The sequence below is a fragment of the Homo sapiens genome, chromosome 1 (assembly GCF_000001405.40).
Source record: "Homo sapiens chromosome 1, GRCh38.p14 Primary Assembly".
In the NCBI taxonomy this organism is placed as follows: domain Eukaryota; kingdom Metazoa; phylum Chordata; class Mammalia; order Primates; family Hominidae; genus Homo; species Homo sapiens.
Window position 1 is genome coordinate 113,372,918 of NC_000001.11, and position 26,537 is coordinate 113,399,454.

The following is a 26,537-nucleotide window of genomic DNA, read 5'->3' on the forward strand; positions in this document are numbered from 1 at the left end:
TTTTGTTTTTACTAAAAAGAATACCTCTCTGGCTTGGTCTACAAAGTTTTGCCACCTCTAAAATATGTAGATGATCCCAAAGTTTAGAAAACCTTAAAAATTGGAACTACACATAAAAGAGCTTCTAGAGTTTGACTATGAAAATACCGTAAGGTATTTATAGTTTACTTTAAAATTTTACCAAAAGAACAAAGACTAAATATTTAGGTAGATATCTGCAGATACTTATGTTGTTTAAAACAGCAGCATAAATAAAGGACTTAAAGGATGGCAGGAGAAGTTTTTACTAGTAAGTCATAAAAATAGGTAAAGAGGCCAGGTGCAGTGGCTCACACCTGTAATCGCAGCACTTTGGGAGGCTAAAGCAGGAAGATTGTTTGAGCCTAGGAGTTTGAGACCAGCCTGGGCAGCATAGCAAGGCCCTCTCTCTAAAAATATTAAAAATTAGCTGGGCATAGTGACACGTTCCTATAGTTTTAGGTGCTTGGGAGGATGAGGTGGGAGGATCACTTGAACCTGGGAAGTGGAGGTTGCAGTGATCTCTGATCTTGCCACTGCACTCTAGCCTAGGCAACAGAGCGAGACTGTCTCAAAAAAAAAAAAAAAAGGGTAATGAGAAAGGAGCTGCAGGTATATGTGACAAATTTATACTATAAAATAGCATAACATTTTTTAAAAATATGGTACAATAACACCTTCACACATTACCTTACCTTGGGACTCAGTTATTTTGTTCAGTTCTGGTTTATGCAGCAAAACTGTTCAAATAAGAAGGGTTGTTATCCTGGTTTAATTAGTACTAGTATCCTCTTTCATTTGTGTCCAGATTTTGGTAAAAAGGAATTTGAGGAACAATAACAAAAACAAAAAAAAATTTTAAGTGTCCAAATTTAGACAACATGTGGTCATCTGCACACAGGTATCATGATGCAATATGCATGACTTTCAAAATCCAGTGCTTTATCAACTTTAATTCATTCAAAAAGTATTCATTTTATTTGTTATTTACCTCCTATCTGCAAGGAATGATTGAGATACAAAGATGAAAATATTGTTCCTGCCCACATGGAGCTTACATAATGCAATGTGAAAACTGCACCTGTAAACAATAAACATGTTTTAGTTCTTTCCTGAGTAAAAACTATACAACTGTTAACTGAATGATTGGGTTAGCCTGACAATACAATGGTGATAGTGAGCACCTTGTTCTTTTGTTTTGTTTTGTTGTTTTGTTTTTGCTTTTAAAATGAAGGACTCTGGTATTTCACTCTTGAACAGTAATTTCTCTGTAGCAGTGGTTTTGAGATTCAGGGTTTTTCTATTTGTTAGGGAGAAAAAAGAGCCCTGAGCAAGTTTGATGCCAGATTGCCTGGATTCAAATTCTGACTGTGTCATGTCATAGATGACTGGTCTTGGGCTTCCTATTTATTCACTCTTTATTCCTCAGTGTCCTTATTTATAAAAATTAAGGTAATCGGTGCCTGCGTCATAGTTTTTTTTTTCAGGATTATAAATGTTAATATATGTACAGGATTTAAGAATAGCACCTGGCACATGGTAAATACTTCTCATGCTTTAGCTATTACTATTTAAACATATATGTTTATACATTGTCTTAGTGAGCTCTGGCTGCTATAACAAAATACCATACACTGGTCACCTTAAACAGACGTTAATTTTTATAGTTATGGAGACTGGAAGTCCGAGACCAGGGTGGTGACAGGATTGGGCTTTATCTGTTTAGGCTAAACTAGAGAATGAAAACTGTTCTAAACAGTAAGGAGAAGGTATTAGATGTTACTTAGCATTTTGCTAAGAGTTATGAAAATGAAATGAAGGTGCTTGTTTAAAAGATGCTAGATTTTATCCGGCAAGAGCAGGCTTAAAATTTTTATTCAAAAGATGACAAAGAAGCGAAATATTTCTTAAATTGAAGAAATCAACTCAGCAGCAGGGTTACCTACAGGGTAAGTTTTTAATGCTGACAAATGTTTTGTTTTAAAAACAGATTCATTTTAGTATGTTTATTAAAGTGAATTTACTCTTATTTATTTTACGCTATTTTAATTATTCTCTCTACAACTCTGAGGAGGATAACACCCATAATTGTTCAGGAATCACCTCTGTATAAAATTTCTGTCAGCTTATACCTCTGTTTCTTAAAACAATTTTCAACCCACTGAAAGGACACAGAGCACCTTGAAAGATGGACTGATTTCAGGGCTGTGGCAGGAAATTAAGAGGAGTATGGGACATCTTGCTGTGCTGAAAAGCAAGGTGCAGGAATGAACAGGGGCAAGACATTGGTAAAGAAACAAAAAGAAAGAAAGAAAAAGGAGAGAGAGAGAAAATACAGCAAAATCTTGGTAATTGCTTAATCTGGTTGACAGATGTATGGGTTCATTTTATTCTTTTCTCTTGTATTTGTTTGAATTTTTCAATTATAAAATAAATGTTTACCTAATTTAGGGCTTCTTTAAAGCAAAGCAACACAAAGTCATACATTCTCAATGAAAGTAGACAACACAGATAAACACAAAACAGTGATAATTCTATTGCTCAAGAGATAATTACTCAACTACTGGTAACAATTTGTAATGCTTTTCTGACATTATTCATTACATATACAATTTATTTTAAAATGATTTCTTCTCCTTCAATTTCTCATATCTTTCACGGTCTAAAAGCACTACTTTGATTATTATATTATTCTATTCTATAATGCACCAGTGCATTCCATAATTACCAAATATAGTCCAAGTCTCTTCCAACCTTCTTTTCATAATCCTTTCTATGACCTTCTCTCTCCATAGACCTCTCTGCTCCAGGCACACTGGATATCCCTGGATTCAATCCAGATTTGTTTCTGCATAAATGTCACAATTTATAATCCGAACGAACACTCAAGACCTTTAAAATAATATATTTTGGGGTTTCACAGTTTAGAATTATTTATACAACTAGCAACTTGTCCTAGCACAGAGCTTAATTTTTGTGAAAAGGCCAAGCTGTTACATAAGCATTTTGCCGAGATCCATGAAAAGAAATCAAGAGAATGCATTTCTGCCTCTAAGGGATGACATGAAAACTGAAAGAAGGTGGGATAATCTGCCTCTACAGGTCACAATGCTTCCGCAGTATTTGTTTCTGCTCTGGTGGTGATGGAAGCAGCAATAGCATGCTTTCGGTTTAGCTGAGTACAGGGAGTATAACGTCCCCAAAGGTCTGGGCATCACATTCTTCTAGAACTGGGAATTTTGGCCCCTTAAACAAGCTTGTCCCTTGTTCAACTATGCTGCATTCGCTGCACACTACTTCTGCAACTAGGAAAGGTTATAATTTTGGTTATAAAAAGTATAACTCCATTGTTGTTTCTAAACTTCAACAATTCTATATGTCAATTGTTTTGTACTCTTGTTTTTCTACTCTTACGACTAGAAGGAATCTTATTCACGATAGGCGAGTATTTTCCTCATGTTTATTTTTACCAAACCTTTAAAAATCCACTAACTTGACATATACATTCAAAACTGAATTCCTGCTAATTTCCCAAGTCTTACTTCCTATTTATATTAGTTGTTCCTCTATTAATATTCTGTAAAACTTTGTTAAGATTCACGTTAAAACAACTTCCTTTTGATACAGATTAACGTCCTAGATCAAGATAAACATGGGCTAGAACCTCCTCTGCAAGCCACCTGAAACCTAGAAATCAGTTGAACCCCAAATCTCTCCAAAAACCAACAATGATGGAATTTCTGCTAATAGGTCTTGTTCTAGTAAATTTAACAGGTCCATTTTTAGCTTCAGACAGGTAGCATGCTGCTTTGGTGTGATCATGTTTTTCCATCACTGTTGATTTATCCTTCATCTTCTCTAAAGCTAATAACATGAGGTAAACTCTAATATCTTACCAGCATAAACTACCTTTAAGAAACAGAAAATTCCCTAGCCTGAGTGTCTCATACCCGAAATAGTCTGGTTTTAAAAGGTTAATCTACGTTAAAAACATTGAACTAAGGCTTGGACGAGATTCGAGACTAGTAGAGAGTTTTATTTATTCAGCACACCATCTGTAAGACACAGGGCTAGGTGATGCGGGGACATGTAGAAGTGGAGGTCTTGATTATTTTTCTTTTTCCTCTACCACTTGCTCTTCCCTCTCCCCCAACTCCTCCCTTTCACTCCACGTCCCCACTCTTTCTCGAACATAATGTTTTCAGTTTCATGTAATGTATATACACTTAGTGAAAATACTACTACTAATACTACTACTAATAATTCACAGTGCAAAGGGCATTTTGTGAAAAAACATTTCTCCTTTTCAGTCTCCTAGTCACATTGCCCAGAGACAACTACAGCCATCAGTTCTTATATATCCTTCAGAGGAACATGGGCATGTACATGCAAATATGTATATCCACTATTTTCCCCTTTTTATTCCAAATAGGAGCAAAAAATTCTATACCTTTAAAATATATTTTATGTAATCTTTCCACATCAGCATGTGAAGCTCTACTTCATCCTGCATAATAGTCTGTTGAATGTATACATCACAATTCATTTAACCAGCCTCTATTCTAGACATTCTCTACTACATGCAGTGCTACAATGTGCATGCTAGTATATGTCTTTGAAAATTCCTAGTAGTGAAACTGCACTGAAAATTTAAAAATTTTAATGCTGGCATGTTGCCCACCAAAGAACTATACTAATTTATAGTCTCATCTCAGCAACATATTATCAAACTTTTTGATCCTTGCTAATCTGTTAGGTAAAAAATGGAATTTTATTATTATTTAAAAATGAGGCTGATGTTTTTTATATGTTTAAAATCCGTTTTTTTCTATAATCACATTTAGCCTGTTTTTCCACTGGATTATTTATTTTGTTTTGCTTGCTTATTGATTTATAAGTGTTCCTTGTATAAGAAGAAAATTGCCTCTGTCAACAATATTATAAATATTTGTTCCAAGATTGTCATTTTTACTTATTTATTTCATAGGTCCAAGAAATAAAAGGTATGTCATTTATTTTTAAACTTTGTTTATGGTAATTATTTGGTAATATATACATTTAAATTTTTTGTAATCAAATTTAATAAACTTTTCTTAAGATTATCCTGTGTTCTGTGTCTTGACCAGAAAGACTGCCTTCCTCCAATATTACGAACTAATTTTAGCATCTTTTTTCTAGTACTGTTTGGGTTTTTTATATTTAAATATTTGATCAAGTGAAATTTATTTTTAAGTAAGGAATATGGTACGAATCAAGGATCAACATTTTTTTTCATGGCTAACCCAAGGATCAACATTTTTTTTCATGGCTAACCAGGGTTCTGTAACCATTTAATCCATTATTTCCTCATCGATAAATACTATTCATTTTAAAAACTCTCTCCATTGATATATATATCTACATATATATCTTACATAGTACAATGTATAATCTTAAGTGTACAATCAGATTAATTTCCACATATGTTTATACCTCTGTAAAACACACCCAGATCAGATATAAAACACTGTCAGAACCCTAGGAAGGTCCCTTGTGCCCCCTTCAGTCAATACTCCCTCAAAGGAAACCATTACTCTGACCTCAATCACCATATATTAGTTTTGCCCATTCTTGAAATTCATATCCATGGAATCACATAGTGATCTTTGTGTCAGGTTTCTTTTGCTTAAAAATTATGCCTGTGATAGTTATCTTTTTGTTTTGCTTTGTTTTGAGACAGGGTCTCACTCTGTAGTCTAGGCTGGAGTGCAGTAGTGTGATCATGGCTCACTGGAGCCTCAACCTCCTGGGCTCAGGTGATCCGGCCATCTCATCCTCTCAAGTAGCTGAGACTACAGGCATGCCCCACCATGCCCGGCAAATTTTTTCTATTTTTGTAGAGATGGGGTTTTACCATGTTGCTCAGTCTGGTTTTGAATTCTTGGGCTCAAGTGATCTGCCTGCCTTGGCCTCCCAAAGTGCTGGGATATTTATCCATTTTATTACGTGCAGATTAGTTTTTTCTTACCTTGCTGTGCGGTATAGTATATACTATCGTAAGAATATCCCAAGATTTATTTAACCATTCTAGTCATAATGAACACTTGGATTGCTTCCAGGTTCAGGCTATTATGAATAATTCTTGTATAGATCTTTTGGAGGATATACGTATTCATTGTTGTTGGATATATACCCAGGAATAGAACTGATGGGTCATAGAGTACACATATGCTAACTTTAGTAGAATCTACCAGTTTACCAAAGTGGTTGAACCATGTTACATTCTTATTAGCAGTGTATGGGATTTCCCAAGTCTACATTTTTTGCTAACACTTAATAGGGTCAGTCCTTTTAATTGTAACCATTTTGATGCAGTTGTAATGGTGATCACTGTTTCTTAACCTGGGTATTTTAACGTTTTGTTCCACTATGAAATGTCTTAAAATGACTACCATGATATAGGAAAGAAAGCTAGATGTGGAGCATAAATATTTGAATGCAAGTTTTGATTCACACTTAATGTTGAGAAACCTGTGAGTGACTATATTAAGCTTTCTGACCCACTACAAGTAGGCATATAATGATTACCTCATAGGATGATTATAGATTGAATTATTTAAAATCATGAAGTTTCAATTACCTAGTATAGCTAAAATGTCTGAAAGTACTTGGGTAAACAAGTATTTATTGAGATCCTTCTATGATCTAGGCACTCTTCTAGACATCAGGAACAAACCGGTGAACAAAACACAGAGATTCCTTCCCTCTTGAAACTTACATTCTAGAGTAGAAGCAGACAAAATAATAGATGTAACACATAAATTGTATAGTATATTAGAAAGGGTTAAATGCTGTGGACAAAGAAAAGAAAAGCTAGAGAGGGCTGTATAAGGAGGGTTAGGGGTTGGGAAAATGTTGCATTTTGAAATAGGAAGGTCAGAGTACAGGCCATGGAGAAGTGACATCTGACCAAAGACTTGGAGGTGAGGGAATCGGCCATGCAGATATCTGGGGGAAGAGCACTCCAGGCAGAGGGAGAGCTTAGGCAGAAGCATACCTGCATATAGCATGAATTATAAGAAGGCCAGGATAGTTGGGCTGGAGTCAGGTGGGAGAATAGGGGGCAGTAATGAATGAAATTAGAGAGATACATGGATAATGGCTGGGGATGAAAATGGTCCACATCAGGTAGGGCCTGTTGGTCACTGTAGGAACAAAGGCTTTTACTCAGAGTGAAATGGTAACACAATGCAGTGTTAAGCAAAGACAGACAAGATCTCACTCATTTTTTGGAAAGGATCACTCTAACTACTTATGTCTTAGTCAGCTCAGGCTGCCATAACAAAATACCATGGACTAAATGGCTGACATGACAGAAATTTATTTTCTCACAGTTTTGGAGGCTGGAAGTCTGAGATCAGGGCGGCAGCGTCGCCAGTTTCTGGTGATGGCTGTCTTCCTGGCTTGTAGACAGCTGACTTTTTCTCTGTGCCCTCTCATGGTGGGAGGAAGAGAGTGGGGGAAGAGATGAGATTAGAGCTCCACCCTTATCAGCTAATTTAATCTTAATAACCTCCCAAAAAACCTATTTCCACATTGGAGATCAGGGCTTTTGACATATGAATCTGGGGAGGATGCAATTCAGTCCATAGCAGCTTGCAACTTGAAAATTTCAATCTCTTAACTCTTAAACATTCTCAAACACACCAAGGCTGAAAAGGCAAACTTGAAAATTAACCATGTATCATTTGTATGAATGGTTCTGAAGGCTTGCTGTTGATATACTCTGTCACTTTCTTTGTCCAAGTTGTGCCTATCAGACTGTGGCTGGACAGTTAATGTATATTTAAATCCGCTAAGATTAATTTTGGGTTCTAAGCATAGAAGCACCTCATCAGAACCCATGTTACCTAGAATGTTGCCCTGATTCTGGACTGAAATTCGTCTCCCTCCCTCATCCCAAACCCAGAAAGATCACTTTCTATTAAAAGAGATTATTGAATTTTGACAAGTTATAATTGTATATATTTATGGGGTATAAAGTGATGTTATGATATGTATATATATAATATGTATATAACACACACACACAGCCACACACACTGGAATGATTGAATCAACCTAATTAACATATCCATCACCTCAAATACTTATAATTTATGTCCCGCCTAACTGAAACAGTGTATCATTTGACCAACATCTCCCCATTCTCCCCACCCCCCAGACTTTGGTAAACATCATTCTGCTTTCTGACTCTATGAGTTTGATTGTTTTATATTCCACATATAAATGAGAACATGTGGTATTTGTTTTTCTGTGCCTGGCTTATTTCACTTAGTATAATGTTCTACAGGTTCGTCCATGTTGTCACAAAGGACAGAATTTCCATCTTTTTTTTAAGGCTGAATAGTATTAACTCATTATCTATCTATCTATCTATCTATCTATCTATCTATCTATCTATACACCATATTTTCTTTATCCATTCATCTACTGATGAACACTTAGGTTGATTCCACATCTTGACTATTGTGAACATTGCTGTAATAAACATGAGTGCAGATATTTCAAATCCTTTGGATATACACTCAGAAGTGGGATTGCTGGATCATATGGTATCAAATGGTAATTCTATTTTTTGTTTTTTTTTTGAGGAACCTCCATACTGTTCTCCATAGTGGCTATACTAATTTACATTCCTATCAACAGTATACAAGGGTTTTCTTTATATCCTCACCACCAACGCTTATTACCTTTCTTTTTTTTTTTTTTTTTTTTTTTTTAGATAGGATCTCGCTCTGTCTCCTACACTGGAGTGCAGTGGCACAATCATGGCTCACTGCAGCCTTGACCTCTTGGGCTCAAGTGATCCTCCCACCTCAGCCTCCTGAGTAGCTGGGACCGCAGGCTCATGCCACCATGCCTGGCTAATTTTTAAAATTGTTTTTTGTAGGGACAAGATCTAACTACGTTGCCAGGCTGGTCTTGAACTCCTGGGCTCAAGTGATCCTCTGACCTCGGCCTCTGAAAGTGCTGGGATTATGGGCATGAGCCACTGCACCCAGCCTCATCTTTTCGATAATAGCCATTCTGACAGGTGTGAGGTGATACCTCATTGTGATTTTAATTTGCACTTCTCTGATGATTAATGATGTTGTGCATTTTTTCACATAGCTGTTGGGCACATGTGTGTTTTCTTTTGGATTACTCTTTATTTTTGAATGAAGGCCAATTCAGTATAGACCTTACTTTGGTTCCTTTTTAAGTACAGATGCTCTTTGACTTGTGATGGGGTTACATCCTGGTTAAACCCATTGTAAGTTGAAAATATGGTAAGCTGAAAATGCATTTAATACACTGAACCTAACAAACATCATAAGCTTAGCATACCCTATCTTAAACATGCTCAGAACAGTTATATTAGCCCACAGTTGGGCAAAATCATCTTACACAGAGCCTATTTTACAATAAAGCATTGAATATTTCATGTAATTTATTGAATACTGTACTGAAAGTGAAAAATATAATGGTTGGATGGTACTTGAATTATGGTTTCTACTGAATGCATAGTCCTTTTGCATCACTGTAAAGTTGAAAAATCATACGTGGAACCATTGTTAAGTCAGTAGTTGTTAGTGTAAGAAAGACCACAGTATCCTGTCTTTGAATGGCGTGTGTTTACTTTAAGCTCATGTGGTGTTTTTCCAATCATATTTACTGTGAAATTTTGGGAGTGTGTGTTTGGAAGCACTACACCTAAGTTTAGCCAAGTAAATGAGAATTTTCCTTCTGTTGAAGTAAAGGAGCCTCAGTTTGTGCTTTCTATTGGAATCTGCCACAGGCACTATTGGCTTCCAGTCTGCAATGGGAAAATAAGACTCAAAAATTTGAAGTTTTCTAACTAGTCAAATAACCTAAATGATTTTATATGGTGTCAGAGCTGTTTTAAAAAACTAGGCTTGCGAGTTAGTTTATAATTTAAGAAACAAATTCTACTTCATATAACACATTCTATAGAATAAATGTTGTTTCAAAAACTTTAAGTCATCCATGTGCTTTGACTGGATGTTACTTTCTTAAGAGATTAAACAAAAACCTTGAAATTAACATTACATCTCTCTGGAAGCTCTTCTGAATAAACATAATAAAACAAAGAACCTGTATAAATTTAAACTTAATTAAGAACTTTCCCTAACTTTTTACTTTCTATTGTCCTCCTCGTTATCTCACTGGGACAGGACATTTCAACAAAACAATTACACTCCACAAAATTCCTTATTAAGTACAATTGTAATGTATGTTTCTTTAGCTATGATCAGTCTAGAAAATTAAAGCTATAATTTCTGGTTACCACAGTGCCTTCAACAAATTTTCATCTGCATTATTTCTACCCTGGTCCAAGCTACTGTCATCTCTCATTGGGTTCTCATTCTGGGTTTCTATCTGCCTTCTCTGTTTCCACTGTCACCCCCACCCATCCTTTTCAACATAGCAATCAGAATCATAGCAATCAGACCTAAAATGTAAACCAGATTATGTCATTCCTCTCTTTAAAACTTCTGTGCTCAGAATAAGTTCCAAATTCCTTACTTTGACCTAAAAGCTTTATGTATCTGGCCTACCTCTCTGATTTCATTTCCTACCTTCTCTCCTCCATAACCCCACTCCAGCACTCTTTCTGTTCCTTACATTCACTCAGACAAAGGCCTACCTAAGTTCTTCGTGTAGGTCTGGAACGTGCTGGACTTGTATCTTCATATGGCTCACTTTTCCTTGTCATTCAGGTCTCATCACAACTGTTACTTTCCCTGAAGCCCTCTCTCTAAGTCCTCCATCTAATGAAGCCTGTGTCTACTTTTAACCACCCAATCACTTACACTTATTCTGTTTCATATTCTATTTTATTTATATTTATTACTACCAGAAATTATCTTTTTTTTTTTTTTTTGAGATGGGGTTTCACTCTGTCACCCAGGCTGAAGTGGAGCGGCCCGATCACACCTCACTGCAGCCTCGACCTCCCATGGCTCAGGTGATCCTCCCACCTCAGCCTCCTGAGTAGCTGGGACCATAGGCATGGGCCACCACGCCTGGCTAATTTTTGTATTTTTTGTAGAGACGGGGTTTTGCCATCTTGCCTAGGTTGGTCTCAAACTCCTGGGTTCAAGTGATCCACCCGCCTTGGCATGAGCCATCATGCCCGGCCAACTACCTGAAATTATCCTGATAATTTTTTTTTTTTTTTTTTTTTTTTGAGACGGAGTCTCGCTCTGTCGCCCAGGCTGGAGTGCAGTGGCGCGATCTCGGCTCACTGCAAGCTCCGCCTCCCGGGTTCACGCCATTCTCCTGCCTCAGCCTCCCGAGTAGCTGGGACTACAGGCGCCCGCCACCACGCCCGGCTAATTTTTTGTATTTTTAGTAGAGACGGGGTTTCACCGTGTTAGCCAGGATGGTCTCGATCTCCTGACCTCGTGATCCGCCCGCCTCGGCCTCCCAAAGTGCTGGGATTACAGGCGTGAGCCACCGCGCCCAGCCTATCCTGATAATTTACTCGTTTCAGGTTTACTGTCTTCTTCCCTATGAAAGGAAGGACCTTGTAAATCTGTTCATTGCTGTAAATGAATGTGTGCTAACTATACCAAAGACAAAGCACCCAGCTCAATGAGAGATACATAAATGAACCAAAAAGAGATCTTGCCCTCAGGGATCTTGAGGTCTACTGGAAAAGATAAAACACATAGATAGAAATAACACTGGAGAAGGAAGAGATGACATCCACCTATAGGAAATCCAGGCCAGCCTTGGGGAAAAGGTGGCCTTTAGAAAGATGGGCATTTTGGCATTTTCCATTTCTTTCAATGTTCTCTTTGTCCTGTTTTGTTAGACGAACTTGACACCTAACTGCTTAACTAACTCCCCTTTCCAAAACATGTTGGCACTGAAACTGATTTTCTTTTTTTTTTTAGATGGAGTCTTGCTCTGTTGCCCAGGCTGGAGTGCAATGGCAGGATTTCAGTTCACTGTAACCTCCACCTCCTGGGTTCAAGCGATTCTCCTGCCTCAGCCTCCCGAGTAGCTGGGATTACAGGTGCCCGCCACTACGTCTGGCTAATTTTTGTATTTTTAGTACAGACAGGGTTTCACCATGTTAGTCAGGCTGGTCTTGAACTCCTGACCTAAGGTGATCAGCCCACCTCAGCCTCCCAAAGTACTGGGATTACAGGTGTGAGCCACTGTGCCTGGCCAAAACTGATTTTTAATGTTCCTGTTGTTCTCTGAATTTGGGCTGGATTCATTTGGTCATTTGTAGGTAAGTGCACCTATGGGTAAAAATGCATGTTTATGTGTGAAACACAGTAATACTGATTTTAAACAATGAATTAGTTTATTTAACTGAAATAAAAATTTCCATGTTATTGCTTTTGTAATTGAGCATACTTTAGCATTGGCATACAAATTGGCCCATAACCTAGGCAAATAAAAACACTAACAAAATATAAAGTACAGTAGAACATTAATACTGAATTTGGCTAAGCTCTTAATATTGGACTACATTACATATATTATTTCCATTATATGTGTAAATATAAATATTTTCTAACCCAGTGAAAGATTTTGTGAATCAGAATTTTAACAACTTAAGATGATTTTATTATAATTATCTGCGGGAAAAAAACAGGACACATTTTCTTATATTCTGTATAAAAGGCGCATATTTGTTCCATCTGTCCACTCCACCTCTTCTCCACCCTCTGCCACCTCAATAGTTGAGAATGACTTCATCTACATAATGATGGTTTGATTTATTCTTACTAGAAATTCAGGTTTCCATGAAACTAGTGAGAATATAAATATAAACGAAATCTAACATTTGCCCCTCCATTGCTTTGGCACAGAGCCATGAACAACTCCAGGGCACTACTCACATAGACTCTGAATTGCACCACCATATGAGGCATCCCTGATTGTACAAAGAAGTAACTAAGTATGGGTCACTTCCAAAAATGGGAAATTTATACTTCCACTCTGAAGTTTTCTACTTAAAGGAGTGGGTTTTTTGAGATGGAGCCTCACTGCAATGCCCAGGCTGGAGTGCAATGGTGCAATCTTGGCTCACTGCAACCTCTGCTTCCCTGGTTCAAGCGATTCTCCCACCTCAGCCTCCTGAGTAGCTGGGATTACAGGTGCCTGCCACCATGCCGGGCTAATTTTTGTATTTTTAATAGAGACAGGGTTTCACCATGTTGGCCAGGCTGGTCTTGAACTCCTGACCTCAAGTGATCCGCCTGCCTTGGCCTCCAAAAGTGCTGGGATTACAGGCCTAAGCCTCCGTGCACGGTCAGGAGTGGGTTTACTTAACTGTCATTAGAAACATTAGGCACAATATTATGAAACAAAACAAACTTTCCACCTTGCTTAAAAAAAAATTATTAGAAGCAAATCAATGCAGTGTACACGTGGCAGACACTGTGAGTTGCTTACCCAAAAGCTAATCTCCCCTCCCTGTATTTACTAAGAGACCCCTCCCCGCCAAGTTTTGTCCCTATGTTGTGCAGCCAAGAGGCAGGGCCCCCTTCAGAGTACCAGAGGTGATACTGGATAAGTAATAAGATATTTCATTACCCTTGGCAAAGATTCATTTAGTAAAGGAAATTTGGGAAACTGTGGCCAAGAAGCTAGAGGAGAAGTCTTGCTGGAGGCCTTTCGGGGAAAGGCTTCCTTGATCTACAAAAAGGAAATGAGGAAAGGAAATATCCTTTTCCCTCCTTTCAGTCTTTAGCCATTATTGTGTGTGGATGTGATACTTGGAGCCTCTGCAGCCATCTTGGGACTGAACTTGTAAAGTTTCCATAGTGAAACATATTGATATGTTTTGGATATTTGTCCCCTCCAAATCTCATGTTGAAATGTGATCCCCAGTGTCAGAGGTGGGGCCTGGTGGGAGGTGTTTTGATCATGGGGACAGGACGGATCCCTCATGAATGGCTTAGTGCCGTCTTCTTGGCGATGAGTGAGTTCACACCTGACCTGGTTGTTTAAAAGTGTGTGGCACCTCCACCCTCTCTTGTTCCCACTTTCACCATGTGATGTGCCTGCCACTGCTGCACCTTTCACCATGACTGAATCCTACCTGAGGCCTCACCAGGAAGCCAAGCAGATACCAGCGCCATGCTTGTACAGCCTGCAGAACTGTGAGTCAACTAAACCTCTTTTCTTTATAAATTACCCAGCCTCAGGTATTTCTTTATAATGACACAAAAATGGCCTAACACACATAGCTATCTCTAGCTCTATAGATTAGATAGATTAGATAGGGATAGCCCAAAGAAACCTTGGAGATCACCAAATTCAATTGCCTCATTTATTTTTATTATTTTTGTTCCATGTTGTTTGGTTTATTAATATTCCCCAATGGAAATCACAACTATTAAACCAACCATTATTTTTGGAAAGTCGTGATAAACATGAATACAATACGATTATTTAATTAGGTGTCATTTTAGAGATAGAAGCTTAAAATATGACCCCTTTATGTAATAATTGCCAAAATAATATCCTACCAGAATTAATTCAATAGCATGGGTAGCTTATTTCTAGAATATTTTAAAAACTGAACCAAAGCTTACTAAGATGGGTGAATTTAATACAATGTTTTTAGCTTTGTCAAAGATAGTACAATTTAGCACAAACTAAAATAAAAATTTACTGTTTGCTCTATGCTGCATCCTATGTTATCAAATAGCTTGACTCAAATTACTTGACTCAAATAGCTTCATACAGTTCTCACAACAACTCAGGTAAACACTGTCATCAAACCCATTTTGTGGATGAGGAAATTGAGGATAGGCAAGGTTAAATAGCTTGCTCAAGATCACAGAGCTAGCAGTAGAAAAGCTGGGATTTGCAGTAAGTAGAAAAGCTGGGATTTGCAGTCTGATTTGCTCAAGCTCTGAACCACTGCAGTTTTCTGCCCAAGAATGAATACAACTTATTCATGGTTGAGGCATGTGGCAAACACTGTTGGATGCCTACTTAGCAACTATTTCCCCTTTTCTGCTCTCAGTCAGAACACTCATTTTGTTTAGGGGTGACTTGTGATCAATTTAATGAACTGTGGCCAATCCTATCTCTTTTTGCCAGTGACTGGTCTGATGTGGCATATGACCATTTTCTGGACAATAAGGAAGATTCTAAAGTCTGGGAAATATTTTTCTCCTTCATAAAAATGGGGGACAGCACTTCCTTTTCTTCCGTTCCTGCTCTGTGCAGTGACCTCTGTGGATGTGATGTCTGGAGCTATGGCAGCCACATTGCAATTAAGAGGTGACAAACCTGGAGACAAAAGCTCACATGCATGTGATGGCAGAGAGCAAACACAAAAAAGAGCTTGGGTCCTTGATGACATGATTGTACTGCTCAACTAACCCTGAAACTATCTGCACTTGAAATTTATATTGAAGATATAGTAAATGACCTCATGCTTTAAGCTACTGCCAAATATTCTGTTCCTTGAGGCCAAAGGCATTCTAACAGATGCAATCTAGACACAGAAAGATGTTTTCCCAGAGTTCCTGCAAAAACAGATGATGTGTAGGTTATGGAGATTTTATCCAGGAATCCATTAGTATAGGTAGTAGTTTAGAAAAAAAATACTCCAAGCTTTGTCTCAGATATGGTTAAATCTGAGCCATCCACATGGTGTCTGTGCTGAATATTTTCCCCTCAGATGCACTGTTTCCTTTTCTGAAACTGACTGATATGAACTATATCAAAAGCCTCCCTTGCCCTCTGGCGTCTGGTTGGACTTGGCCATTGACAAGCACCAGCAGGAGACTGGAGGAGGGTGGTGAGTTAGATATAAATCCCCCAGGTCCTTTGCTGGGTGTTTACTTAGGCTGACTGCATCCGTTGACTGAAGGTCACAGACTCCTGTCAGGTGGCCCTGTGTGTCTGGATTTTTCGGTAACTGTTCTTTCCCGATTGGACAGATCTAGGAGCTGTAGCCTCAGGGTTCCAGCTTCTCTTGTGGTTTCCCACACCCTGCCCACATCTTTGCAAAATGCCATTTGTTTCCTGCCAGGACCCTGACTGATACAATGGTGTCAACGAAATCACTGCAGCTATTGAAGCTTGGTCCAGTCTATCTGAGGTGTGGAGTTTTATAAGGGCTTTCACCTACTATTAAAGGGAGACAGGAGACTACACAAATAAATGTCATGCTGCAAAAGTGAAACAAAGATCATAGCTCAGAGAAAACACTTTCCACTTGAGGGCAAGAAATCAGAGAAAGCTACCTGGAAGAGCCGGCATTTGGGATGAGGACGGATAGGAGTTTTAAAAGAGATGAGATGAAGGGCATTCCAAAGACAGGGAAGAGTGTAAGTCAAGCCGGGGAAGAGAGAAAGCTCAAGTGAAATTTCTGAAAAATTAGAGCTGGAAGGGATCTACGATATCTTTTATTTAATGTTCGTTCTCCCTTCACCTCCTTTAACTGAGATTTGGCCAAGGTCAAACAGCAAGTAAGTAGCATGTCAGGACTCCAACCAGATCTGCTGGCTACCAGGTTAGTTCTTAATAATCCACCTTCTACCTCCACCCCACTCCCTCACCTCAGGCAGTCTGCTTACTTCTCAGTCTCTCCCACTAGACTGTAACCTCCTCAATAGCGGGGCTTCTGTTTTCTTCACCCTTGAATCCCAGTACCTAGCACAATATCTAACACAAAATCGTCATCGTCATCAGCAGCAGCAGCAGCAGCTACCAAACTTTAAGAGGCAACCACCCACTGTCAGGCACTATGCAGTTATTTTGTACATCTTCTGTAATCTTCACTTTTCACTGAGGACGCTGCGGCTCAGAGAGGTTGTCTAATTTGTCTTAGGTCATACAGCAGTGCCGGACTCTATTTTATAATATCTTTCATCAACCGGACTCCGAAGCCCTGCCTCAATGGGCGTTCAGTAACATCTGTTGAATGAACGAATGAACAAGCAATATCCACTCAATGCAAACTATCGGCTGTAACAGGCCACCCTAAAGGCCCCGGAACCTCGGCCGGCTCAGGACTCCGCACGTTGTCTTCCAATCTAAGCACACCGGCCCCTCTCTGCGCCCCGCACAGGCTCAGAGGCTCCGCCCGCGTCTCCGCCTAACTCGCCGGCCACGCCCCCACTTCGGGGAGCTCGGTCCCTCTCGGATTCGAGTTTTCCTCGGCTCCAGCCGCCGCGCAGAGGGCCTCTCCCGGCCCTGCGACCTACAGCCCCTTCCACTCCCCTGCCCCTCCTCTGCGCCCTCCCTCACTCTCCAAACTTCTTTTTTCCACCCTCTCTAAACTTCAGTCATTCTAGTGCCCGCCTCCTCCACTCGCACCGACCAACCAGTGGTCCCCATTCTCGTTGGCGGTCCGCCTCCTGCCCGCCGGGGGCCAATCCCTGGCGCGAGAGTCCAGGGCCGGGGCTCGTTCCCAAGCGCCCAGCCTGTGACGGCAGCGCGCCGGGCGCCGCGCGGCGGGAGGGGGCGGGGCTCTGGATGAGGGATGGGCGAGGGCCGGGGGAAGGGAAAAGGGAGGAGGAGGAGGTTGCGGCTGGTTTGAAAGCGGCAGTTTCCTGGCAGCTTGGGCAGGCGTTGGTCTCCGCGCTACAGCTCCGCAGCGGCCACGATCGATCCCGCGACGGGTCTACGCGCGCTTCTGCGCGCCCCCCACGGATTTTTCCCGTTCCCGGCTCTTCCCCCTTCACCTCCCCGCCCCCCCGCCTCAGCCTTTCCCGCCGCTCGGGCGCTGAGCCCAGGGACCAGCCGGCGGCAGTGACCCCGCCCGAAGCCCCTTCTGGAACCTCCTGGGGACAATTCCCTTTTCCTTTCTTCAGCCTAACCCGCGGTGGCCCTCGCGGAGTCCGGTCAGCCCCGGGGAGCGCAGCCGGGAGGGGCGTCCAAGGGGCGTCTCGCGTCTGGGAACGGCCGGGCCCCCAGCGGGCTGTGGTCGCGGGGTGGGGGCCGGAGCGGCGAGGCCCCCCTTACCGGGCTGCGCGGGCCGCCCAGGGCCCCCGGGCTGAGACGGGGCCGGAGCGGCGCCCCGGCCGCCCGCGCGGGGTCTCCCCCATGGTGCAGCGGGGTTCGGGATGTCGAAGACGCTGAAGAAGAAGAAGCACTGGCTCAGCAAGGTGCAGGAGTGCGCCGTGTCCTGGGCCGGGCCCCCGGGCGACTTCGGCGCGGAGATCCGCGGTGGCGCGGAGCGTGGCGAGTTCCCCTACCTGGGGCGGCTCCGCGAGGAGCCCGGCGGGGGCACCTGCTGCGTCGTCTCGGGCAAGGCGCCCAGCCCAGGCGATGTGCTGCTGGAGGTAAACGGGACGCCTGTCAGCGGGCTCACCAACCGGGACACCCTGGCTGTCATCCGCCACTTCCGCGAGCCCATCCGTCTCAAGACTGTGAAACCAGGTACGCCGGCCCTGCGTATCTGTCTCGGGGTGTTGGGGAGAGGGGCTTCAGGGTGGGCGTCCTGGGAGCGGCGGCACCTCCCCACCGCGTATTGTCCCGGGTAATCTTAGACCTCTAGGGTGTGCCAGACTCCTTGACGAGGGGGAGGGGTGGCGTTGGTGAGTCCCATTTTGCCGAAGGGAAAACTGAGCTCTGGCTTGGCGCGGTTGCTCTGCTAGCTGTGCTAGCTGTCACAGAATTGCGACTAGAAGCTGGGTTTCCTACATTTGTAGCTCCATCTCCCCCCGCAGACAAGAGTTTTTGACTAGAGAAGGCCAGCCTTTTCCTGTGTTGTGCAAAAAGGCCCTTAGGATTGTAACATTTTCTTTGGAACGATCTTACGCATCTTCTAACAGGGAAAAAGGGACTTTACTATAGAGGCACTTGGTGCCAAGGTTACCACCTGGTGTACCTGGAAGGGCTTAGCTGCTTCAGTGTTTCTTGCACTCTAGCAGACATCTCAGAGCTGACAGCCTAACTCTGTCAGTCCAGGTGGTTCAGGTGTCTGAGTACCGATGACGGTACAATATGTGATATGTGGCAGACTGGTGTGTTCTTGCAGGGAGCTGTTGAATAGAGTCTGGGTTTTGCAGGAAGACCTAGGTGCCTAGCGGAGTGAAAGCTTCTGTAACGCTTTTGATTTTACAGAATTTTGTTGAAGTGGTAGGTTAAAGGAGCCTCTGTTGCCCTGGTATCTTTTATGCTAGTAAAAATTGCTGCAAAGCACGTTATGTTTATGGCATACTCGTCAGTTTCAAAGCATTGATCAGAGACAGCATACAGTGAGATCTGATAGTATGTAGTAGTTCTTATGAATTTGTTATAGACAGCATTGTTGGTTTTGTTTCAGCATAGATAGAATGTGGTTCTGTCGTCTTAGATGTTTGTGGGAGAGAGAATTGTGATTGTAACATTATTAGAAACCAAACTGTTTTTCCTTAATGTGCTCTGCTGAGTATACGGTGCATCAAAATATAATGGGCTGGTTAATTGTTACCTGGGCTAGGTAGCAGTCCATCCCTTGATGGCAAAATGCTAGAAAATTCTGGATAAAAATTTAATATGTTATCTCCTTCTCATTTCTTTCTCAGCAGCTCGCTTTGGAAATATTAATATATCTTTAATAGTCCTTGAGCTTAATGGGGCTTGATGGTTTGTGGTGCAGTTTACATATGTCTGTGTATTGTGGATATGTATACACACAGACTCACATGCTCCTAAGGTCATAATTAAGATTTTCTTTCTATAGCGTATTCCATCGTATTCATTTTAAGTGTATGGGTTTATGTGGTGAGGTTTTCTTTTTATTGTTGTTAATTTTTTAAAACTTTGGCAGACTTTAAACAGCTTTTTCTGTATAGTTTTGAGAATTTGTAAATTTTTTTCTTAACTCTAACTTTTACAGCCATGTGTGAAAGGCAGAGGAAAGACTTTTGGGGCTGTAATTCAGCTAGTCAGGCACTGTCTGTAATATGCAAAAGGCTATATAGACAGCATTTACTAGTCTAGCTGCCAAATCTTAGTTCAAATCCCATGAGTTAGTGAATAGTGAGAACATCTGCATCATTTCTTTGTGTTTTGTTTTGATTCGTTAGGGCATAGATGAGAATATAACTTATTTTTAGAAATTTTAAAGTTGATATATTGACATGGAAGCTGGTGTATTCTAAATTATTGTGATCTTTTTTAGAAGACTGAAGAGATGGCTATTTCATAACATTAGTCTAATCTACCTGTTATACATTTTTCTCAACCTCTATATTATATTTAACAATAATTCAAGATTTAGAGCATTAGTAATATTAACTGTGTTGAATAAACATCCTATGCCCCCGTATGTAGTTGACATTATTAGAGTAATACAGTTTTGCCCTCTTGACAGCCACAGACACTGTTCTATTTTAAAGATTTAGCCAAAATAAAGGGAATAACGTATTAATGGCCACAGAACATTTTGTAGTCATTAGTAATAAAGTTCTGAATACTACACTTGTTTTTTGAAGAGACACTTTGTGTCAGTAATTTCTCAAGATACCATTATGTCTGTGTTATTTGAGATTAATATTGTTTCTAAGCAGGTTGTAATTTAAAATTTTTAATCTCTTTTAAAAATAGTATTCTTAGCTTCTTAATAGCCTCATGTTAGGTATTATATTAAATGGCTTTCTTAAATGGCTTTGCTTAAAAGCAACATTTGTTATAAAATAGCAAGATTTTTGCAGGTTAAACAGACTTTAAATACTAGAAATTAAGAATTTGAAGAGGTTATCTGTAGAACTTTTGAGTTTGATTAAAAACAAATATTATTTTCAGAAGAGACAAAGATTCTTTATTGTGATTCATTTTGGAAAGGATGAAAATAGAGTAAGGGAATTTAAAAAGAAACTTGCCATAAACATTGTTTTATTTTTTGCTTTTATCTAAACTTTGTGACAGAAATTGATTTTTCAATTTAATAAGGTATTGTAAAGTGTACTTAGCACTCTCTTGTCTTGACTAGTTGCTTTTTATTAAACCATATTCATAACATGACATTTAGAGACTAGCACAGTGAAAGAGTAAAATTTAACCATTTTTGTAAGATGTAATACTAATCGGAAATGTTCTCATATTGTCTTCTGACAAAGTCCATGGCAGAAGGATGAGCTGGGTTGTAGAACATGGCTTTTGTAGCACTGATTCTTCCTAGCCTTCTTTTCACTTAGGTGCTAAGGGTCGCCCTCCCAAAGCCAGTACTATCAGCCAGGTGACTTAACATCTTTCTGGCAGCTACTGTCTTTAGCTTTGATTTTTTTTCCCTTTTTTTGTTGTTATAATCTTTAATAGAGAATTGAAAGTTACTCTTTAAAATATGGTTTCTAATCTGAAGCTTTTCCTGAATCAATTAGGTAGTTTCTTATTGTTTTAGTGTAGTACTTAGTAGTCAGTACTTTGCCCGCTTATAGAAGAATCTTTGGTTTCACCTATTGCTTGGCTCGATTAGTTACTTGTTTCTTAATTATGACCCTGTTGTTTATTTTTCTGCAAAGAGAAAAGTTGTCATTTGAGTTTGAACTTTGTCTTTTCCCAGTAGTAAAGTTGAACTTTGGACCTCTGGTGAAATTGTTTTGTGATATACTACTATGACTAGGTTTAGTTTCTTTGATTTTACTACAGAGTATATATTCTTAAACCATTTCTATTCTGATTAATATACAAGTAGTGAATTTTGTTCTGAAATTCCCCAGACTCTAATTGTGCAGAGTTTTATGCTTCTTCATACACCTTTAAGCTCATATTTCAGCAGTTTGCTTTCAGTAAGTTTCAGTAAATTATGTGTATTTTATTCCAGAGATTAAGTATCGGTACAATAAATACATGAAATCATTGTCTACTGCCATATGCACACATTACATTCAACTACCCTAAGCAAGTAGTGTATCCAGGGATGGAAATCATAGGAAACAATGTTATAGTTTGTTTAAATAAAAACCAAGTTGAAACAGTTCCTGGGTAATGTTAAAGGTAGGTAAAAGTCTTCACTGCTGACTCTTTGGGACATCCAATTTGTAAGGGAGTTTTGTTAAAATGGGCTAATTCCTAGAAATACACTTCCTGTTGGTGAAGAAACACTACTGGATGCTTTAAAATAGGAAATATTTATGTTATTCAAATAAAAATAATGCTGTGCCTTTCTTATCTCTTGAATCTTTTTGTTAGTTTTTTTTTTTTTTTTTTTTTTTTTTTTTAGTGGGATATTTAGGATTTTTGATGAGTTTTGTTTAGGTGGTTGTATTATATGAGGATGGGAAAGGTAAGAGAATTTAGAGTTAATTGTTAGCCTCCCAGGCTTACAATACATTTCTTCGTACCTTTTTTAAAACAAGAAAATCTAGAGACCTAGAGATTATTTTAGAAACAATAGAAAAAGAAGCAAGCCAAGCCCCTTTGCTAGGGAAAGTAGCATTACATTTTGATAAACCTTGAAGTTGAAAATTTCCTATTTCAAATTTTGGTAGTTTTTTTTTCTTTTTTCCCTAAAGCTCTTAATAACTCAGGGGTTCAGGTTTTGGATTCTGTTCATTGACACCTTCAATTCATATGAGTAATGGGCTTACACCTTAGCAATTGCAAGCTGATTTGCTTGCATGATATTTGATGACTTTTATTATATCATTAACATCTTTGTACTTAAAAAATATTTTCTCTCCATCATTCTCTAAGAGTACTATATCCAAATATCTCAGTATGTATATATGTATATACGTGTGTGTATATATATATTATATGCATATATGTATATGTATATACACACACACATACTTTTGTTAACTTTTCTTGTATATCATTTTCTAGTATATCATTTTGGGTACTTTATTGATCCTGCCCTCACCCCCAGACTTTTATAATTTAGTTTGTAAAACTTTATTTTCCTAGGTTGAGGCATTTTAATAATTCTTTAATTTCTTGCTATCTTACTGGTACAAACAAATACTTAACATTTGGCCATTTGATTTTTAGATGATTTTAAATTTTATTCAGTTTATTGCTAAAACTGATTTTCATGTAACATAACTCTGTGTTCCTGGGACGTATACATTATTTTTCCTCTGAGATCCTGGCACATACTTTATAAAACCTTTTGTTTTGAGAGACAAATTTTTGTGATTTTTTTTCTGCTAATTTATGTAAACTGGCGACAAAACAAATCTTCTAAATTCATTCAAGTGTCTGACTTATGAAGTCAGTGCCTAATCTTCTCAAGTGATAGTTTCATACAGAGTCTTTACTATGTAACCCCTAAGTGCTTTGTAATTTTTGGGGGGACTTAGTGTTTTGGGAGTATGTTGAAAGAGAATCTTGTTTTTATGGATTACTTCAGTATTATTTACCAATTTCAAAATCTGTGAATGTCAGGGTTGTGTGTGTGTGTGTGTGTGTGTGTGTGTGTGATTTGACAAAAGATAAGTGTTTTGGTATTGAAGACTAGAACCGTTTCGCCTTTAATAAATTATTTTTTGTCTTCTGAAATTTTGAGCAATAATTTTCTTGAAATACTACATTTTGGTAGATAGAGTGAATGCCCTGAATTTAAAACTATTGTCTAAAGTAAGAGTTTCAGAAACTTAGAAGCTGGTGTTATGAGACATGTTTGTAGGGAAAGAGGCAAATCCATTCATTGCTCTTCTAGCTAATTTTGCTAACAAAATATCTTGCTAATATTTTGTTTTTGAAGAACAACTATTATTCAGAATGTTTTCCAAGAAAAGATGCATATTTTATTTAATACAGAAAAAATAAGAAGTCCTATTACTGGCACGCATTCATTCCCTCAGCAAATACTTAGTGGTGCACCCACCAAGTGCCAGCATGGAGCTAGCACTGGCGATATAAACATGAGTCAGAAATTGTGTGTCTTCAAGAAGCTGGCAGTTTAGTGGGAGCTTAATGACTCATTGGTAAGGAATACCTGTAGTAAGGGTTTTGCCTTTTTCACTTTTCTGCCAGTGTTTAAAACTCTTTAGGTAGGTCTTAGTATGAATTTTGGTGAAAATGAGACTAACTGGCTGCATAGTGTGCTATTCGAAAAAGTAGTGGAGCTGCATTTTAGAAAGGATTTGGGTTCTCAAGTCATCACAAAAAGAGGGAAATCAAATATAAGCAAAACTGTCTTTTCAAAAAGCCCTTAAATTGTGCATAAAATACTATATTGTACTGTTTGTAGGATGAGTCCAAATGCCACTTTTCCACCCATGTTGGAACCAATTGCAGTTTTTTGGTCGAATACCAGAAGAAGTAATTTGCTTGCATTAAAAAGATATGTTTTACAAAAAAACTTTTAATTCTAAGAAATTATCCTCATCTAGGTATGTACAGTGAATTTATGGAAATTAAATGTGTACATGAAGTGAAAGAATGATTTCTTTTCTTTTTTTCTTTTTAATATCTTGGTAGGATCCACGCCATCTGCCCTTGTTTTCTGACTTGAGTGGTTGAGGAATGAATTGTGAATAATTTTGAACTTGTTTGGGTTTTGAAAGATGACAGATTTTGGTTGAGTGGAATTAGGATCTTTCCAGTAGTAGGTAAGAAGCAGAGGAGGAGAAAAACACAGGGCAAAAACGTTCCATACAGAAAGGTTTACAGTGTGGTCCATCTCAATAATTTTGTGTGTGTTTGTGTACAAGGGCACAAAATCCACATTATAGAATAATTGGAAATTATTTTGTACAAGGGCACAAAATCCACATTATAGAATAATTGGAAAATAGAGGGAAGATCATATTAATTGTTTAAATGTATAGGTAGTTCCATTATGAATAGTCTCCTGTAAGTTTTTTTTAAATGTGTTATCTCCTCGAAATAATGCTCTAAGGTGCTTAATGCTATTTCTGCCTTCAGCCTCATTCCACTCATAATGTTATACTATGAATATTTTTATTTAACCCTTAATGTACCATTAGTTCTGTTCTTTATGGTTAATAGCCCTATTTTTGTTGTTTTGGAAGTCTAGCCAGTTTTATGGGAAAACACAATTTGCTAGCCTAGGAAAAAGGGAATTGAAAAATATATTTTCATCTTAATCCCGCCTTCCCTTTTGTTACAGCCACAGCCGACTGGCTTCCAGTGAGAAGGGTGGCATCATTATATCTCCATTCTTCCCTGAACCCTAGCAATTTATCCTGATGCAGCCACTCAGCTGCATTGCAGTGGTTTCCAGGAGCAACCCACTTACCTGCAGCCCCCACCCATTTCAGTCATCCCAACATGGCCAGGGGAACATAGATTACATTTTGAGGACCATAATTTGACTTATGACATATCTAAATACCTGAGAAAGGACACGCTGTCCTTATAGGTGATTAGGTACTTGTTTTATTAACACATACTGAGAGATATTGTTTTAGAGACTCTGTATGGGTTATGAAGGGTTAAACTTTTTTGCCATAATTTGTTTGGAGTTTAGGGTTTGGTTTTAAAAAATATCATGCAGTGGTAATTGGAAAAAATTTTGTTTCAAATTTATTAATAATTAAGATCTTTTCTATTTGGAGGCTTCCCTTTTTATTGTCTTGGGTATACAATGTGAACGGTAACCGATCTACTTAATTAAAACTTTCTGGCATTTTAGCCTCTTTGCTTTTGCTGGTTTTTTTGCACATAATTTGAAACACGTAATTATTATTTTCTGGCTTCAGGGGAGTTTGTGAGAGGCAAGCCTGTATCTCGTTGTTCTGATTGGGAATTACACATGACTATGAAAAATGGGATTTTACTATACATAATGGCATTTAACAGAAGTAGTTTTATGAAAGGAAAATATCCTACAAGGTAGGAAAAAAACAAGTATTTATTAATGCTTCATTTTCTGAACTTAAATAGAATTAAGCTAAATTGGCTTTGCTTTTTCCTCCAATAAAATAACTTTTAAAAATTCACTTTAATGGAGTAGTTCCAGAGATATATTACTCTTTGGATATGGTTATCTAGTTTGCAGCAAGTATCTTGTGATATATAGCTTAGATCTCAGCAGGAAAGAAAAAAATCTTAATTTACATATCAGTTTCTGTATTTGTAAGAATTCTGTAGCAAGTGACAGAAACGCTGTTGAGATTAATGTAGGCTAAGAAGAAATTTATTGACTTACATACATTAAAATCCAGGCATAGATCAGTAACAGCTAACTTCTGTTCTCAAGTGTTGGTCATTAGAATTATTATTTGGTTCTCTTTTCTTCTGGGTTGGATTTTTTCTCAGCTAGACTGTCAGTGTAGCGGTGAAGGTAGCTCTGAACCCCGAAGTCATACAGGGTCCTTAAAGCTTCTCATCTTTTTGGAGTCTAATAACAAATCTCATGCAGGGACTTTGGCCCTGTGCCCATCTCTTGGACCAATTATTGTAGAGAGAGGAGAGGACAATGAAGTGCCATGATTGGTCAGGCGTGGGGACATGTCTACCCTTGCAGCTGGGTATAAATAGCATAATATGATTAATAACTGTAGCAGAACCCCAAGACGTAAGGGAGGGGGAGTTCCTGAAAGGGTGGGATGCCGAGGAATCAATACTACAGGAAATGATCTCTTTTA

The 26,537-nt window shown here is 39.0% G+C and overlaps 1 protein-coding gene across 5 annotated transcripts in view, besides 8 other annotated features; it reads left to right on the forward strand.

The window, feature by feature from the left end:
- Positions 15,930 to 16,174: a silencer, noted in NCBI's record as "fragment chr1:113931469-113931713 (GRCh37/hg19 assembly coordinates)". NCBI's record gives its function as "represses an EF-1alpha promoter that drives an FKBP-Casp9 reporter gene in an ReSE screen in K562 erythroleukemia cells {active_cell/tissue: K562}" and the evidence as "EXISTENCE:reporter gene assay evidence [ECO:0000049][PMID:32094911]".
- Positions 17,164 to 17,213: a silencer, noted in NCBI's record as "silent region_1209". NCBI's record gives its function as "represses an Ori minimal core promoter by ATAC-STARR-seq in GM12878 lymphoblastoid cells {active_cell/tissue: GM12878}" and the evidence as "EXISTENCE:reporter gene assay evidence [ECO:0000049][PMID:35858748]".
- Positions 17,244 to 17,603: a silencer, noted in NCBI's record as "silent region_1210". NCBI's record gives its function as "represses an Ori minimal core promoter by ATAC-STARR-seq in GM12878 lymphoblastoid cells {active_cell/tissue: GM12878}" and the evidence as "EXISTENCE:reporter gene assay evidence [ECO:0000049][PMID:35858748]".
- Positions 17,598 to 26,537, forward strand: part of MAGI3 (membrane associated guanylate kinase, WW and PDZ domain containing 3) — a 295,409-nt gene continuing 286,469 nt past the window's right edge. For all 5 annotated transcript variants that reach the window (XM_017000974.2, NM_152900.3, XM_005270737.4 and 2 more), the window contains exon 1: positions 17,598 to 18,432. In XM_017000974.2, coding sequence (XP_016856463.1) covers positions 18,117 to 18,432 — 316 coding nt within the window. In that variant the 5' untranslated portion in view covers positions 17,598 to 18,116. The remainder of the gene's footprint in view (positions 18,433 to 26,537) is intronic.
- Positions 18,014 to 18,143: a silencer, noted in NCBI's record as "silent region_1211". NCBI's record gives its function as "represses an Ori minimal core promoter by ATAC-STARR-seq in GM12878 lymphoblastoid cells {active_cell/tissue: GM12878}" and the evidence as "EXISTENCE:reporter gene assay evidence [ECO:0000049][PMID:35858748]".
- Positions 18,014 to 18,543: a biological region, named in NCBI's record as "H3K27ac hESC enhancer GRCh37_chr1:113933583-113934082".
- Positions 18,044 to 18,543: an enhancer, noted in NCBI's record as "H3K27ac hESC enhancer chr1:113933583-113934082 (GRCh37/hg19 assembly coordinates)". NCBI's record gives its function as "activates a minimal SCP1, AML or CMV promoter by ChIP-STARR-seq in naive H9 embryonic stem cells {active_cell/tissue: H9 hESC(naive)}" and the evidence as "EXISTENCE:reporter gene assay evidence [ECO:0000049][PMID:30033119]".
- Positions 18,204 to 18,363: a silencer, noted in NCBI's record as "silent region_1212". NCBI's record gives its function as "represses an Ori minimal core promoter by ATAC-STARR-seq in GM12878 lymphoblastoid cells {active_cell/tissue: GM12878}" and the evidence as "EXISTENCE:reporter gene assay evidence [ECO:0000049][PMID:35858748]".
- Positions 18,594 to 18,643: an enhancer, noted in NCBI's record as "active region_1532". NCBI's record gives its function as "activates an Ori minimal core promoter by ATAC-STARR-seq in GM12878 lymphoblastoid cells {active_cell/tissue: GM12878}" and the evidence as "EXISTENCE:reporter gene assay evidence [ECO:0000049][PMID:35858748]".